At 53.3% G+C, this 14,698-nt stretch overlaps 1 protein-coding gene across 7 annotated transcripts in view, besides 12 other annotated features; it reads left to right on the top strand.

The window, feature by feature from the left end:
* Positions 819-1,028: an enhancer, noted in NCBI's record as "active region_3655". NCBI's record gives its function as "activates an Ori minimal core promoter by ATAC-STARR-seq in GM12878 lymphoblastoid cells {active_cell/tissue: GM12878}" and the evidence as "EXISTENCE:reporter gene assay evidence [ECO:0000049][PMID:35858748]".
* Positions 1,059-2,108: a silencer, noted in NCBI's record as "silent region_2546". NCBI's record gives its function as "represses an Ori minimal core promoter by ATAC-STARR-seq in GM12878 lymphoblastoid cells {active_cell/tissue: GM12878}" and the evidence as "EXISTENCE:reporter gene assay evidence [ECO:0000049][PMID:35858748]".
* Positions 1,059-2,498: a biological region, named in NCBI's record as "H3K27ac-H3K4me1 hESC enhancer GRCh37_chr10:82214375-82214892".
* Positions 1,463-14,698, top strand: part of TSPAN14 (tetraspanin 14) — a 68,322-nt gene continuing 55,086 nt past the window's right edge. For 3 of the 7 annotated variants that reach the window (NM_001351266.2, NM_030927.4, NM_001128309.3), the window contains exon 1: positions 1,463-1,524. The gene's annotated coding sequence lies outside the window, so the exon portion shown is untranslated. Of the gene's footprint in view, positions 1,525-6,437; positions 6,738-10,240; positions 10,281-14,698 lie in introns of those variants that run through there. The other 4 variants (NM_001351267.4, NM_001351268.2, NM_001351270.2 and 1 more) reach the window with 3 other exon arrangements.
* Positions 1,772-2,289: an enhancer, noted in NCBI's record as "H3K27ac-H3K4me1 hESC enhancer chr10:82214375-82214892 (GRCh37/hg19 assembly coordinates)". NCBI's record gives its function as "activates a minimal SCP1, AML or CMV promoter by ChIP-STARR-seq in naive H9 embryonic stem cells {active_cell/tissue: H9 hESC(naive)}" and the evidence as "EXISTENCE:reporter gene assay evidence [ECO:0000049][PMID:30033119]".
* Positions 2,239-2,498: an enhancer, noted in NCBI's record as "active region_3656". NCBI's record gives its function as "activates an Ori minimal core promoter by ATAC-STARR-seq in GM12878 lymphoblastoid cells {active_cell/tissue: GM12878}" and the evidence as "EXISTENCE:reporter gene assay evidence [ECO:0000049][PMID:35858748]".
* Positions 2,529-2,578: an enhancer, noted in NCBI's record as "active region_3657". NCBI's record gives its function as "activates an Ori minimal core promoter by ATAC-STARR-seq in GM12878 lymphoblastoid cells {active_cell/tissue: GM12878}" and the evidence as "EXISTENCE:reporter gene assay evidence [ECO:0000049][PMID:35858748]".
* Positions 5,296-5,375: an enhancer, noted in NCBI's record as "active region_3658". NCBI's record gives its function as "activates an Ori minimal core promoter by ATAC-STARR-seq in GM12878 lymphoblastoid cells {active_cell/tissue: GM12878}" and the evidence as "EXISTENCE:reporter gene assay evidence [ECO:0000049][PMID:35858748]".
* Positions 8,259-8,338: an enhancer, noted in NCBI's record as "active region_3659". NCBI's record gives its function as "activates an Ori minimal core promoter by ATAC-STARR-seq in GM12878 lymphoblastoid cells {active_cell/tissue: GM12878}" and the evidence as "EXISTENCE:reporter gene assay evidence [ECO:0000049][PMID:35858748]".
* Positions 9,906-10,200: a silencer, noted in NCBI's record as "tiled region #907; K562 Repressive non-DNase unmatched - State 14:Gen5'". NCBI's record gives its function as "represses a minimal TATA promoter and a strong SV40 promoter by Sharpr-MPRA in K562 cells {active_cell/tissue: K562}" and the evidence as "EXISTENCE:reporter gene assay evidence [ECO:0000049][PMID:27701403]".
* Positions 11,924-12,495: an enhancer, noted in NCBI's record as "NANOG-H3K27ac-H3K4me1 hESC enhancer chr10:82224527-82225098 (GRCh37/hg19 assembly coordinates)". NCBI's record gives its function as "activates a minimal SCP1, AML or CMV promoter by ChIP-STARR-seq in primed H9 embryonic stem cells {active_cell/tissue: H9 hESC(primed)}" and the evidence as "EXISTENCE:reporter gene assay evidence [ECO:0000049][PMID:30033119]".
* Positions 12,496-13,067: an enhancer, noted in NCBI's record as "NANOG-H3K27ac-H3K4me1 hESC enhancer chr10:82225099-82225670 (GRCh37/hg19 assembly coordinates)". NCBI's record gives its function as "activates a minimal SCP1, AML or CMV promoter by ChIP-STARR-seq in primed H9 embryonic stem cells {active_cell/tissue: H9 hESC(primed)}" and the evidence as "EXISTENCE:reporter gene assay evidence [ECO:0000049][PMID:30033119]".
* Positions 14,026-14,320: a silencer, noted in NCBI's record as "tiled region #4556; HepG2 Repressive non-DNase unmatched - State 6:EnhF". NCBI's record gives its function as "represses a minimal TATA promoter and a strong SV40 promoter by Sharpr-MPRA in HepG2 cells {active_cell/tissue: HepG2}" and the evidence as "EXISTENCE:reporter gene assay evidence [ECO:0000049][PMID:27701403]".

Here is a 14,698-nt window from a genome sequence, read left to right on the forward strand (position 1 = left end):
GCTGTCACAGACAGGTTGCATCCCTCTTAATTAAACAAACAAATAAAATTAGCCAGGCACCGTGGCTCATGCGTGTAATTCCAGCACTCTGGGAGGCAGAGGCGGAAGGATTGCTTAAGCCCAGGAATTTAAGACCATCACTGGCAACACAGCAAGATCTCGTCTCTACAAAAAAAAAAAAAAAAAAATTAGCTAGGTGTGGTGGCCTGCACCTGTGGTCCCAGCTACTTGGGGAAGCTGAGGCGGGAGGTCGAGGCTGCAGTGAGCCATGGTCATGCCACTGCACTCCAGCCTGGGTGACAAAGCGATACCTTAGCTCAAAAAACAACCCAAACAAACCTGGGAATGGACTGAACAGTCTCCATTTCAAGATTTCCTCCTTCCATTGGAATTAACCTGTTGGTTGCTTGTACTGGCATGTGGCAACCAGTCTTAGCCCAGTTTTAATAGATCCCTGTTTGGTGTTACTCAACAGAGAAGACCACTCGGCCCTCAGCCACCGAATAAGTTTAAGAAACAGAGGTGTGGCATGCTTCATTCTACAGGTAGGGAGGCTGAGGCTGGGGAGCCGCCCCTGGCTATCCCTGGAAACCCCTCTACCCCACAGGAATCGTCCCAGCCATCTCTTTAGCGTAAAGGTGAGGAACAAATCTCAGCCACGATCCAAAGAGGGGCGCCACCCCTGGCTGTCCCTGGAAACCCCCCTACACCACAAGAATCGTCCCAGCCACCTCTTTAGCGTAAAGGTTAGGAAGAAATCTCAGCCACGATCCAAAGAAAGCTTGGTATTTTTAGCACCAAGGCCAGAAGGAGCGTGTCCTTACTCCTTGGTTTACAAAGAAATAAAAACCTTTTCCCCATCCTTCTTTTGATTGAAGACTACCCCCGCCCCCAGGCTCCAAAGCCGGGCAGGAACGCCTCTTATCTCCACCACAGCCATTTTCCTAATCCTTCGCCCGCTCTCCACGGTCATCCCGTGTATCCCTCGAGACGCCGCCTCCCACAGCTCGTGCTTCTCCCAGGTTCGGCTCCGACAAGGCCAGAGCGGCGTCTGCGCAGCGCAACGGCTCAGAGCGCTCCCGGCGGCTACAAGTGCCCGGCCCCGGGCCAGGCCCGGCCTGCGCCGCGCACCCACTGGGAGGGCGCGGACCGGGGCCGCCCCAAGCCTCCGGCACCGCCCAGAGCGGGACAAAGGGGCGGGCCGGCGACCCGGCCTCGCGGTCCCCGGTGCCGCGCGGGCCGGGAGGCGGGGTGCGGTGGGGGAGGGGCGAGGCGGCTGGGGGAGGGGCGGGGCCAGGGCGGGCCCAGGCGCCCGGGGCCGCACCGGGCGGCGCAGGGAAGCGGCGCCCCTTCCTCGGCAGACGGCAGGCGCCGCGCCTCCGGCCCCGCCCCTCCGCGCCCCTCCGCGCCCCGCCCCCGCCGCTCGGACGGCCCGAGTCGCGCCCTCCCGCCCCGCGCCGCGGAACTTGCTCTAACTTCCTCGGCCGAGCCGGGCCGCGCCGCCGCTGCCGCCGCCGCGCGCGGGTGAGTAGAGCGCGGAGACCTGGCTGGGGCGTCGGGCCCTGCCCCTTTCTTTGTCTGAGGCCGACTTCCCCGAGCGTTCTCCGGGGGCGAGGGCTGCTCCTTAGGTCCCTGTTTGGCCCCTCAGCCTCCCTCCCCGCCTGCCCAGGAGCGGCCCCGCGGGCGGCGCTGGCTTTGTCTGCCAGGATTGCTCGCTAGAGGTTGGAGGCCTCCGCCGGGACCCCGCTGAGCCGAACTCCGGCGCCGCGCGGACGAGAGCCGCGGCGGGCCCGGGGCCGGCACTCCTGGTTCGGTAGCCCTCGCCCCATCAGCGCGCCCCGGCGAGTGCGCGCCCGTGCCGGGCGGGGTGAGGGCGACGGGAGCCTGGACGGCCGCTGCTGCTCGGGGCTCTGCTTCTCGTCCCCAGCAGCGAGCTCGGGGATGGGCCACCCTTTCGGCTCAGTCACCCACCCTCGGCTCCCAGGAGATCGGGTCCGGGGTGGGGGTGGGCGTAGGCCGGGGCGGGCCGCCCCTTCCTCCTGCCCCGCCGTGGTTGTGCTCAGTCTCCCACGCCGCCGTGGGTCCCACTCTGCCCGGCTTGGGTTTGGGACGGCCGGAGTTTGAGTAGGCGGTGACCCAGCTTCTCCGCGTTAGTCGTGTGGGGTTGTGTTTGGGAGCAAAGCCTGACCCCTGACCTAGCCGGAGTTCTGGTAGAGTGAGGTTTGTGGCTGCGGACTGTGCTTGTCCCGGGCCGCTGCTGCTTCTCCTCCACCCCCAGGGGTGGGGTGCGGGTGGGTAGGAAGTGCCTGTGTGAGGGTGTGTGGAGGGACTTTGGCCCTGGGACCGCAGGAGCACTTGTCTTGGGGACTTAAAGTTGATCTCCGGCGAGAAACAGTCCGTGCTAGGGGGAGTCGGGGGAAGTCGTGGGCCCGGGTACTGGCCTGGGGCTGGGCGCAGAGCGGTGGTGAGTGCGGCGGTGTCACACACTCGTTGGCTGTGCTGGCGCTGCTATCCGGGAGGTCAGGCGGTGCTGGGCGGCTGTGCAGAGCATTGTATTGGAGCCTCTGCAGGTGTGCTCTTGGCAGTGGTCTGCTCTCCAGGGGATCTTCCTCCCTTCCGAGAGGGAGTTGCTCTTGGGCTAGTGAGAGAGTGGCCTGCCAAATCCTCAAAAGTAGCCTTCCCCTTGCCCCTTGACCTTGAAGTCCAGAAGCAGTTAGTGCCTGCTGAGTGCTCCGGCCACCCTTCTCTATTTGTGAAGGGAAACCTGGGGACAGGCCATCGGAGCACCCCTATGTCCTTGCCACATTTCAGCTAGCCGAGTGGTTGGTGGGGGCGGCCGTCTTTCCAGGGATCTTCCTGGGCCCTGGCACCCCCAGAATGAAGCCCAGACTCCACCATAATGGCCCTGTATGCCCTTCTATCCCCTTAGCTGCTGGTGTGATCATAGCCTCAAATTGCTGGGCTCAAGTGATCCTCCCACCTCAGCCTCCCAAAGCACAGGGATTACAGGTGTGAGCCACCACGCGCAGTCTGATCCCACTCCGATCCCTAACGTTATAGTGACAGGCCCTGGAAACCCAGGGCCACCAGATGTATTTTCCCTTTCCTTCTCATTGTGTTGCACCCCAACTTCAGTTGGAGACTCTGGATATATCCATCCCCACATCTCTGAACTCCACTGCTTGGGCCACCTAATGTCATCCTCAGTTTAGTTAACAAAGCATGGTTGAGATTTCTGTGGGGTGCGAGGCATTGTTGCAGGCACTATTCCAAGTCTGGAAAGTCCCTCACCAGCTATGAACTTGGTGTGGTCTTAGAACCCAGGCTGGACATGGCATAGGTGCTCAGTAGTGTTTATTGATCTGAGCTTGATCTCAGCGTAGCAGGATCATTTAGGGAGACGGGGTTGTGGGGGGGGTCTGAGCCCATGGGTGCTTCTGAAGGTTTGTGGCTGCCCCAGGAAGAAAGGGCATGGAGCTGCAGAATGGTTGGCTGCCCAGGGAATTGTCCCCTTCACCAGCTGGGCAGCTGTGCTAGTCTCTGAGGACTGGTGAAGGTCCTTCTCATGTAGGAAGTGGCAGTATGAAGTGGGAGAGGAGATGGCTCTGCCCTGAAGGTTGTGGCGGCAGTGAAGTGAAGTTCCCATGGAGGCCGGGGAGCAGGAAAGCCCTGGGTTCTGGAACTATTTCCTGAGGCCTCACTCTATGCCACCATGTGCTCAGGAATTTGACCCATTTAACTTCAACTGAGGTAGAATTCCTTTTAGCAGTGCCTGCAAAGTGGCATTGTGCCAGGCCTGGGAAACCTTTGCTGGCTTAAAATTTAGTGAAGGACAAGATTATTTCATAGTGATACTAATGTGAGTTTATTGAGACTTACACCCTAGAAGTTTGACTTGTAATAACTCATTTAATCCTTGAAAACAGCTGTGATGGCTGGGCGTGATGGCTCATGCCTGTAATCCCAGCACTTTGGGAGGCCGAGGTGGGTGGATCACCTGAGGTCAGGAGTTCAAGACCAGCCTGACCAACACGGTGAAACCCTGTCTCTACGAAAAATACAAAATTAGCTGGGCGTGGTGGCACATGCCTATAATCCCAGCTACTTGGGAGGCTGAGGCAGGAGAATTGCTTCAATCTGGGAGGTGGAGGTTGCAGTGAGCTGAGATCGCGCCGTTGCACTCCAGCCTGGGCAACAAGAATGAAACTCCATCTCAAAAAACAAAAAACAAAAAGCAAAACAACCGTGATGTCAACAGCTCCATTTTACAGATGAGGAAACTGTGGTCCCGAGAGGTCACAGAGTAACTTGCTTGAAGTCTCAATATGAGCTGGGTTTTCTCATTTCTTTTTTTTTGATACTGAGTCTCACTCTATTGCCCAGGCTGGAGTGCAGTGGCGTGATCTCGGCTCACTGCAACCTCCGCCTCCTGGGTTCAAGTGATTCTTCTCCTGCCTCAGCCTCCCAAGTAGCTTGGACTACAGGTGTGCACCACCACACCCAGCTAATTTTTGTATTTTTAGTAGAGATGGGGTTTCACCATGTTGGCCAGGCTGGTCTTGAACTCCTGACCTCAAGTGATCCGCCCGCCTCGGCCTCCCAAAGTGCTGGGATTACAGGCGTGAGCCACTGTGCCGGACCAGGTTTTCTCATTTCTAATTTAGACAATATGTTCCTCTCAGAGGTGATTAAAATGGATTCATATACCAAACAAGCCTGGCCCACAGTGGAACTAATGAATGTTTTCAGTGAAGGTGCCCTTGTATCCCTGCCTCTGAACACATCTCATCTGTCCAGCACAGCCTGGGCACATAGCAGGTACCCCGGAACCCCCGCTGATTGGTGATGGAGCTTCTGTCTCCCTAAGGCCAGGGAATGGGAAGACCAGCACTACCACATGCAGAAGATTGGGGAGTCACTGCTTGTGTCTGTCTGGACAGATCACGGTTTGCTGTGGTAACAGCAATCCCCAGGTCTCAGAGGCTTAAAGCAACAGAGGTTTATTTCTTGTTCACACTGCATGTTCATCACTTATCTGCTTTATGTTGTCCTCACTGGGGGGACCCATAGTGATTAGTGGGAACACCCCTGGTGGCTTGGACAGAGGGACAGAGAACATGATGATCCCTGTGTCCTGCCACTGAGTCCTGGTGGCCTTTAAGATGCCTATGGGAAGGGGATTAGGTTCCTGCTGCCTGTCTCTGCCCTGCCGTGTCAGTCCTTGGATATCTTGCATGTTCCATCCGCTACCTGGATGTGGCCTGTAGGGGCAGCCACCTTTCCTAGAAGCAGGAGCAGGTAGCGATACCCAGGCAGGCCTGGTCCTCCCCACTTTTGTGGGACTCGGGGATTGAGCTTGCAGGCATAGGGGTGTAGAAAGCAGTGGTAGCGAGGTGACTGAAGGTGGACTCCCACTGGGGATGGGATTGAGTGTGGGGCTAGATCCCTGGTCTGTAGAAGGGAGTAGGAACCCTGTTAGTTAAATTTTCCCCCTCAGGCCACGTTAGTAGGATTTTGAAGAGTCAGCCACACTGTGGCTCTTGATTTTGTGCCTGGTCACCTGCTTGGTCTCTGGTGATTTCCCTCGGGGCCAGCAGACACTGTTGGAGGTGGTGAGGCCTCAGGTTCTTCTGCTTCATGGTTAACTCACTCTGCTTAGGCATATTTCCACCTTTTCCAGGGCCTCCGTTTTTCTGCCAGTGGATTGAGAGGTGGTGGTGGTCTCCAGCAGTGGTCTCACTCTTGGCAGGCTATCAGAGTACCCAGGGAGCTGCGTAGAATGAAGTTTTGAGAGTCTTTGGTCTAGGTGAATGCCAGCGTTTCAGTTTGCTTATCTTCCATTATAGTAGTGTCCTCTGTAACTGTGAATCAGGGAGGTTATTCATAATATCTCCACATCCATTTTCTCCCTTAATTGCGTATGCTTTTGATTTAGACAGGGCAAGTAGCCATTTTGGTGGAGCGCAGGCCCTGGCAGGGGGGCAGTGTCCAGTGCCGCTCTCAATTAAACGTGAAGATGTGAAGATGAATAACACTGTCCAGCTTGCAGAGTGGACGGTGGTGAGGCAAGCTTTCAAGTTGCACCTACTTTCTAGTTGAGTGACCTACACAAGTCTTTGATTTTTTTTTTTTTTCTTCCTGGAAAAAAAAAGTTGTCTACTTTTCTCATCTGTAAAGTGAGAAGAATCAAGTCTGCCTTTTCTGTCTCACGGGGTTGCAGTGAAGCATTAGTACCCTGAGAAGCAAGATCCAAAGCCCCTGAGTTAGGCCTGACACTGGTGTGAGACAGCTGCCATCTCTGGCGGCACTCAGCAAGTGTTCACCAGCAGCTGATTCTGGGAACCTCACTTCCTCCGCCCTTGGGCTTGGTGGGGTTGGGTAGGGTTGGGTGGGGCTGTGGTTTTCTTTTAGGAGGCAGCAGGCCAGGCCTGGAGACCAGAGCTTAAGTGGGCCTGGGCAGGCTGGGGTTGAAACTCTTCACCCCTTGCGGTCTGTACTGCCTCCCAACTGAGCAGCCAGGGAGAAGGCCTAGAGCCTGTGCCTTTCAGCTAGATAGCTGGAGGAACTGGCTCCTCCCTCCTTAGGCTGTGCTGGCCTGAGCTGGGAGCCTGAGAGCTGGGGCAGTTGTCTCTAAAGTGGCTTCTGGGATTCTGGTAAGAGGTGAGCTCCTGGTGCTGCCTCAGAGTCTTTGTGTTTCCTGGCATTTGGGAGAGCTGGAGTTGGGCTGTCCTGCATGGGTAAGGTTTGGGGAGGGACTGGAACAAGGGGCTAGTGAACCTTCTCTGGGTTTTTCCTGCCTGACTATGCGTTGACAGTCCCAGCTGTTGGGCCTGTGCTCCTGTACACTGCACGGCCTTGAGAGGAGTTCGGAGCCCTAACATCCAGGAGAGAGGCCCCACAGCAGTGGAAGGAAATGGGCCTCTCCCGAATCTCTTGTTTGTACCCCGAGGTCTGAGTGGTGATCCTGGGGATGCTATGGGACTCTCAGCAGTAGGAGTGTGTCTGTCCCCAGTCTGGGTGCCCACCAGCTGTGCTGAGGGTCCTCTCCTGTGTCCCTGGGCCAGGCAGACAGGGTCTTTTTCTGGGGCTTGTTAGGGGAGGTCAGCCACAGCCCCAGACCAAGTAATTTACACACCCTGAGTGAGGGGTGGGAGCAGTGGGTCCAGGAAGACTTAGGGAGCTGGTGAAAGAAAAACTTAATTCTGACACTTGTTAAACTGGTAAGGTAGACTGTATCAGGACTATTACGATAGATGTAGGAATTATCGCAATGGATTTTGCAGTAGAGGGGAGAGAGTGGGCCAACTCCAAATACAACAAAGAAAAGTGGGAACTTATAGCCAAGGAGCGGAGTGTGGGGGCTCCTGAAAATTTCTAAGAGGGTAGGGAAATTTTTACTAAACTTAGCTAACTGAATTCTTGCTGCAGGCAGGCCAGGGTGATCAGGTTTTACCTGGGAGATAGTACAGGATGAGAAATACGTTCAGATATCCAGGGTGATTAGATATTGAGGTTGGGGGATTCTGGTTAACAGGAGTTTTGCTAAAACTAGGCTCTTAGAGAGAATGGAGTTAGGAACCCTAGGTCAGGACCAGATGAGTAGAGGGCTCAGAGGAATAAAGTTTGGTGAGGGACAGAATCTCTGTCAGTATCCCGTGGTTGGCAGTGTCCTGTCCATTCTTCTTGCACTGGCCTGTCCCTCAGGAGACAGGTGTGAGTGGTCCTGAGCTTGGGCCAGTGTAAGAGTAGGGGACAGGTTTCTCTCCTTGTAGGTGTCCCTTCTTGTAAGTGTCACTCTCTTTTTTTCCAGAAACCTTGGTCCTTTTCAGCATCTGCTGGCCCCTTGTCCCTTGGCTCCCTTGCTCTTGGCCTGCTGGATTTCCCCTCTGCACCCAGGAAATCGCATGGACCTGGGTCCTTGTTTCCCTACAGCCCACCAATTTTGCTGCTTTTTTCTGCCCCCTGAAGCTGAGCTCCTGCTGCAATTTGTGTTCCCTGCTCTCCCTGTCCTGGGCAAACCAGTCTGACAACTTTGTGGTTCTCGCTCCCGCCTCCATCAGCCTGGGGATTGACTGTCCCATTTGTCTGAGCTGGGCAGAGGGAGGTGCTGTGGGGGATCTCTTCCTCTTGCCTGGACTGCACACTCCTGCTGCCTTCTAGCCGGAGCTCCTGGGCATTTTGCCTATGGGAGCTTCACCAGCTTCCTTCTGTCTGAGGCCTACAAGTCCCTGCCTCCAGCCTACCTTGTTCCTCCTCCATGAGTGAGGCTCCTCCTTTTCTCTCTGGCCCTCCTGTCTACTTGATCAGACTCTGCCTCTCTTGAGGGCCGGCTCCCTCCAGCCTACCCTGCACAGGTGACCCTGTTTGGCCTGCCTCCTTTTCTTGAGGCTGATCTTGTCTCAACAGTCAGCTTTTCAGGAACCAGGCCCTTGCTGTTGTAAGGAAAACCTGTCGGCTGTGGATGGGGCCTTCCCTCCTTCCTAAAGGCTCTGTAGCCAGCTTCCACCCTTGCAGTGGAACAGTGGTGGTGCCAGAACCCTGCTCTCTGCAGCCATCCTGCCTACCACAGTCATTGTGTTTTGTAACTCTAGTAGCTTCTTGTGAAATACAAGTGATGGTATAAACGTGGATAGGTTTTTGAGGGGGGCATGCCAAAATCAGAGTTGGTGGTAGTGGTGGGGGATTCATTCCCAAGGGCTCTGGGGTGCTAAGTGTGTGAGCAAAGAGGAACAAGTGGCATGTGCCCAGGATGGGGTGGGGCGGGCAGGTTTAGTTGAGGGCTCCTCTGGTGTAGGGTAGCCCTGACGCTCCCCTCCATGGCATGACTGATGAGGTGGCAAAGGCAGGTGCCAGGATTTGGTGTGTTGAAGATTAGTGCCTGGGTTGGGCTCTGCTCACTCCTGCAGAAAGACGGTTGGAGAGGGGCTGGTCTTGGTTTCACAGAGGATTGTGGGATTACAGGCAAGACCTGCTGAGGGCTTGCACTGAGCCACCGAGAGGAGCAGAAAGAGATACGAGGGCTTCAGGTGCCAGTATGGTTCTCACTGTTGTGAGATCTCATTTGTGCCTTTTTTTTTTTTCCTTCAGACAGGGTCTCACTCTGTTGCCCAGGCTGGAGTGCAGTGGCCCTATCACAGCTCACTGAGGCCTCCACCTTCCTGGCTCAAGTGATCCTCCCGCCTCAGCCTCCTGAGTAGCAGGGACCACAGGCATGCAGCACCACACCCAGCTAATTTAAAGAATTTTTTGTAGAGATTGGATCTTGCTATGTTGCCTAGGCTGGTGTCAAACTCCTGGGCACTTGATTTGTGCTTCTTAATTCAGGGGCTACTTATTGAACATATTTAGCAGTCTTCAGAAAGCATCTTATTCTGTAAGGGGAACCAAATATACCCATTCCCCCTCTCTGGCCTTCTTTCCCTGTGGTCTGGGCGGTCTTTGAGCTTGAGGTCATTAGGAGGTGTTTATTTCTGTCCGCCCTGGTGGCCTAGGGCGTAGGAATGGGGTGGGATGGGATGGGATGGGGTGGGGTGGGGTGGAGGAGTTATTCTACATAGATAGAGTTCTGTTTATGCAGCACTCCCTGCCATACACATCTCTCACTCAAATGGTCTGGCCAGTCCTGGTTCTAATGGTCATTGTGTCATTCCCCTCAGCAGCAGGAAAGGCTGGAATGGTTTTTGTATTGTTCCTTAGGGGGAAAAATCACTTGGAGGAAGTATATCAGTGCTTCTGAGTGCAGAGTATTTATTGACACGTCAGTTAAAGGAAGCTTTTAAACAACATATATGTATCTCTTTAGTGAGGAATAAATCTACAAGTGCATCTCACAGCTCCATTTTGCAGCTTCCATTTCCTGGAAGGTACATGGAGTTTAGTGGTTAGGGAATGGGGTTTTGAGCTGGGATTTTGGAGAAACTGTTTTTAGCCTGTCCTTGGAATTGGGCCAGGCCTAGAAATCTGTTGAAATAGCTTTCTTTAGTTGCTGAAACTGGGATGTGTTCATAGCACTAGGACCTCGAGCTCCACTGATGACTGAGTGGGGAGGGCTCAGAGAAGGGTCCCTGTGGATGCCCGGGATGCCTGGGTTTCAGTCCCGTCTCCTGCATCGCCTACATTGCCTGAATCTTAGGGTCTTACAGATTTATCATGAAGTGGGCTTGGCAGCAGATGGTCTGGTTTCTTTTGTGCCTTTGTCAGAATCTGTTCTTGCTCTTCTTAGGAAAACTTTCTATTTCAGGACTTGGGGTGGAGTCGAAAGCAGGGAGCCCTGTGAGTTGGTGAGTCTGTATCCCTGAGGCTGCCACTGCCTGACCCCCTCCTTCCCCTTGTTTCGTTTCCCCTCCCCATTACTCTGCCTTGTTCTAGGGAAACACCAGAAGCTGCCTGCAGACAGCTACGGGTAAAATTGTGTGTCCAGCCACAAACTTTAGGCATTTTAAATATTAATTTAGGTTTAACATTTTTATTTACAAAAATGTATACATGATGAAAAACACATAACAAAGATACACGGTGAAAACTCCTATTTCTATCCCTGACCCCTTCAGTTCTGCTCCCCTGAGGCCGCTGTCACCAGATGTTCAGTGCCTAGTCAAGCATGACTGTATTCCTCTCTTGTTTATTACCCCAGTGGTATACTAATTATGCTGTTTTGCACTTCCTGATTTTTACTCTGAGAATTTATCCCAGGATTGTTCCATTTTAGCACACATAGTTTAGTCCATTCTTTTTAACAGCAGTGCATGATTCTGCTGCACAGTGAATGATGACTCACTTTACCAGCTCTCTATTGATGGATTTTGAGGTTGCTTTCAGTGTTTTGTTTCTATAGGCTAAGCTGCAGGAGTGTCTTATGCATGCTGCAGGTCTGTAGTGGAAATGACTAGATGTGGAGTTACTGCATTAGGTGTGTAAAAGGAAAAGAAACATGCGGCTTTGATTCCGAAAGGGGGAATGAAAGTTTACAAAGTTTTCTTTTGGAGGGATCTTGGCCTTCTACAGAGACAAGAGCTGGAGAAACTACTGGGAAGGCATGAGAGGTGCCAGCGTGTTGGTTCCCACCCAAGTCCATCTTTGGTTCAGTTCAGGCCAGCCTGTCTCCGTGACCTCCATATTTACAGCCCTTGGCTGGCCCTCTGGCTCATGCAGCCTGTGCCCCTAAAAGTGTGAGGAGTCAGCCAGAGCGAGTTGGGGTGTAGGGAGGCGGGGAGCAGGCTTCTCATAGTGGGTTCCAGCAACCTCACGACTTTGCAGGACCTATGTGGGGTGTGAAGGGGGAGCGTTGGTTGCAGCAAGCTGGAGCTGGCGTCAGCTTTTAGAGGAGCAGATTTTCCCGCAGTGTCAGGGGTTGGTGTGAGGATCGGCCTCCTTCTCTGGCCTCCCTTGGCCTTTCGCTGCTCTGCACACCTCCCTGTTCAGGCCGCCTTGGGCCTGGTTGCCACCCTGTGATTTTAAAAGCCTGTGTAAAAGGCACCTGGTGAAAATAATAGATGGGTTTTGTGTTTTGAGCGGGAGCTTCCTTTCAGAACAGAAATGGGGTACGGTTCTTCCTGGGATGGGTGGGGAAGGAGGGACAGTCGTGAGAGCATGTTGGAGGTGCCCACTCTGTGTTGGGAGCTCTCTGGTTGTTTCCCTGTGTGGCTTTCACTGCCCCATGCCAGGGCAGGGTGGGAAGCAGGGAGACTTTAGGGCTGGCTGGCAGATAGACCTCCTAAATAGACCCTGACCTGGTGGGTTTGAGGCTTGTGTCCCTGCCATGGCTCTCCCACCCTTCTACTCAGAGAACTTCTCACCATTGCGGTTACATGCAGTCCCCGTGAGAAGGCCAGAGCTTCCCATGTGCAGCTCATTGTCTGGGCCTGGGTCCTTGGTAGCACAGAGGTTTCTATTGTGGCCTGGTGGCAGTGAGGGCTGACCTGTGGAGCTGAGGAGGCGGGACCTGGGGCCTCACAGTGGAGCTATTCAGGGGCTCTGCCCTGGTTTCCTGCTGCTTCCCATTGTAGATTTTTTTGGGGGAAGGGTGGGAGGGAACTAGAGAAGGAGGAGAGTGGGAGAGGGAGTGGTCAGTGCAACTATTGTTGCTGGTAGCAGGAGCCCTTTATGCTTAATAGAGGTCCATTTGCAGACAGCCTTGAGCCACTCCAAGGCCCATCATGTGTTCTCAGATTCTAGTTTCTGCCTCTGTCAAGATCCCCCTTCGCCCTTCTCAAGTCCCTGTGCTTGCCTGGAACACCTCTGGGTAAGAGTTCTGAGCAGCTGGGCAAGGAGCAGGAGTGGCCGGTGCCAGGCTTGTCGGCCACCTGCCCACTGCTTTGGGGAGTGAGTTCTGCCGAGTCTTCCCGGCCCAGCTGTGCCCTTGGGTGGGGGCCAGGCACGTGCCTGGGTTGCTATTAGTCTCCCAGGCCCCCCACTTGCTTTGTGCCTCAGTGCTCAGCCCAGTGCTCCCGTTCCTCACGCGAGCACTCAGCTGCTGAAAAGCCTGTGTGCTGGCAGCTCAGCCTGCAGCCACCCCCGCTGCAGGAGCCACAGCCATTTTCCTTTGTTCTGCCATCTCCGGGCTCTTGAATCTCAGGCTGGCAGTGGGCAGCAGGCAGCCAGCACACAGCGCTGGTGGGGTGGAAACCCTTGTGACATGAATCTGCCCACTGAGCCAAAGGCATGGCAGCCCCCTGGCTGCACCCCTAATTCCTCTGGCTGTACCCCTATCTCCCAGCCATGCTGAGAGAAGCACAGAGTATCCCCTCTTACTGGATCAGAAAGATAGTGACACCTACAGTGGGAACAGAGAGAGGTCTCACCTGTTTTGGGCCACTGAGGTGCACACTAAAGAGAGAGAGAGTTAGCCTCCGGGTCTTTGGCAGAAAAAGCCACTCTCAGGCACAAAGGATGCTCGTTCTTAATCTCCTGGTCTTTGTTGAAAACAGAGGCAGGATTGGTTAAGAATATTTTTTATTTTGGTCCTTATGGTTGTGAGGACCTTTCTCTAACTGAGGGGAACTGTACCCTGCTTCTTCACATCTGAATCTCTCCCTTCTCTCCCCCACCACTTTTTGGTGGGCAAAATGAGCATTCTCTTTTGGGGTACAATTTCAGCTATGTGTGGGGTTGCAGGCGGGGTGAAGGCCACTCTCACCCGCTGTCTGACTTCTCTATCTGAGGTGTGCCCGCCCCAACCCATACTGTCTCCTTTCTAAACCACAGACAGAATCTGTAAGGCACCTGCCTTTGAAATAGAGTTGTTTTGTATAGAACTCATAACTCCCACTAGTTTTCATGTGTTTAGCATTATAGCTTACCCTTTCAAAACCCATCCTGGCTGTCTTATTTGATTCTCTTATCAGCCAAGTCTTACAAATCAAGAAGCAAGCCTCAGCCCCAGATAGGGTTGCACCTTGGAGTGTCCTCATTTTATTTTATTTTTTGACATGGAATCTTGCTCTGTTGCCCAGGCTGGAGTGTAGTGGCATGAATATGGTTTAGTGTAGCCCCCACCTCCCAGGCTCAAGTGATCCTCCTGCCTCAGCTTTCCCAGTAGCTGAAACCACAGGCACGCATCACCATGCGCGACTAATTTTTAAAAATTTTTCATAGAGACGAACTCTTGCAATGTTGCCTTGGCTGGTCTCGAACTCATCTTCTGGGTTCAAGCTGTCCGTCTGCCTCGGACTCCCAAAGTGCTAGGATTACAGGTGTGAGCCACAGCACCCAGCCCTCATTTTAACAAATGTTGTAGCACCTACAAGACTCAAAGTAAAAAGAGCTGGTGCTCATCGTGAAAGGCATTGAAACACCCCCACTTTGGTGGGGGGTGGGGTATGTTAACAGAAAAACCAAAGTCTCTAAAATATTTTAAAGAGGTTTATTCCAATCCAGTGAGTGTCTGCGTCCTGGGAAAAGCACGGTCTCAAGAGGTGTGGGGAAAGGGTGCTTGAGGCCGTTGGATTACGGTTTTGTTTTATACATTTTAAGGAGGCAAAAGTTACAGGCAAAGGCATAAGTCAGTACATGGAAGATATGCATTGTTTAAGCCCAGAAGGGTGGGATATCATGAAACGGGCTTACAGGTCATAGGTGGGTTCGGAGATTCTTTAATTTGTAATTCGTTAAAGGAGTAAAGCTTTGTCCAAAAATTTAGAGTCAGCAGAAAGGACTGGTAAGATAAGGAAGTCCGTTAACCAATACACTGGGTTAGAGCTGTGGGGTGAGTGACTTAACCCTTGTCTGGCATGGCCTTCAGTCCTCTTTATATTTCGGTATCTTATTGTCACAAAGAGTCTTGTTTCTTAGTCTTATAATCTCTATTTTAATATTAATGATGGTCAGTTTTTGTGTCTAAATCCCAAAAGGGAGGAGGTATGTAATGAGGCCTTTCCAACCTCCTCCTTGTTGTGGCCAAGAGCTGTTTTTCAGGTTTCTCTGGGGTCCTCGTGGCCAAGAGGGTCTGTTTAGTTGGTTATGGGGCTTAGAATTTTATTTTTAGTTTACAGGTTGTTGGACCCAAACAAGACTGGGAAAGTCACCATCGAGGCAGCTCAGTATTCTTTCTGGGAAAAACACAATGGATGTAGAGGCTGGGATTTGAATTCGGGCTTACTGGGTGACCTTGGTGGGTCACTTCCTGGGGTGTAGATTCTTACTAGAAAATGGAAGTGTTGCTCAGAGGAACTTTGGGAACATTTTAGCTGTAACCCTTGGA

Source organism: Homo sapiens, chromosome 10, assembly GCF_000001405.40.
Source record: "Homo sapiens chromosome 10, GRCh38.p14 Primary Assembly".
NCBI lineage: Eukaryota > Metazoa > Chordata > Mammalia > Primates > Hominidae > Homo > Homo sapiens.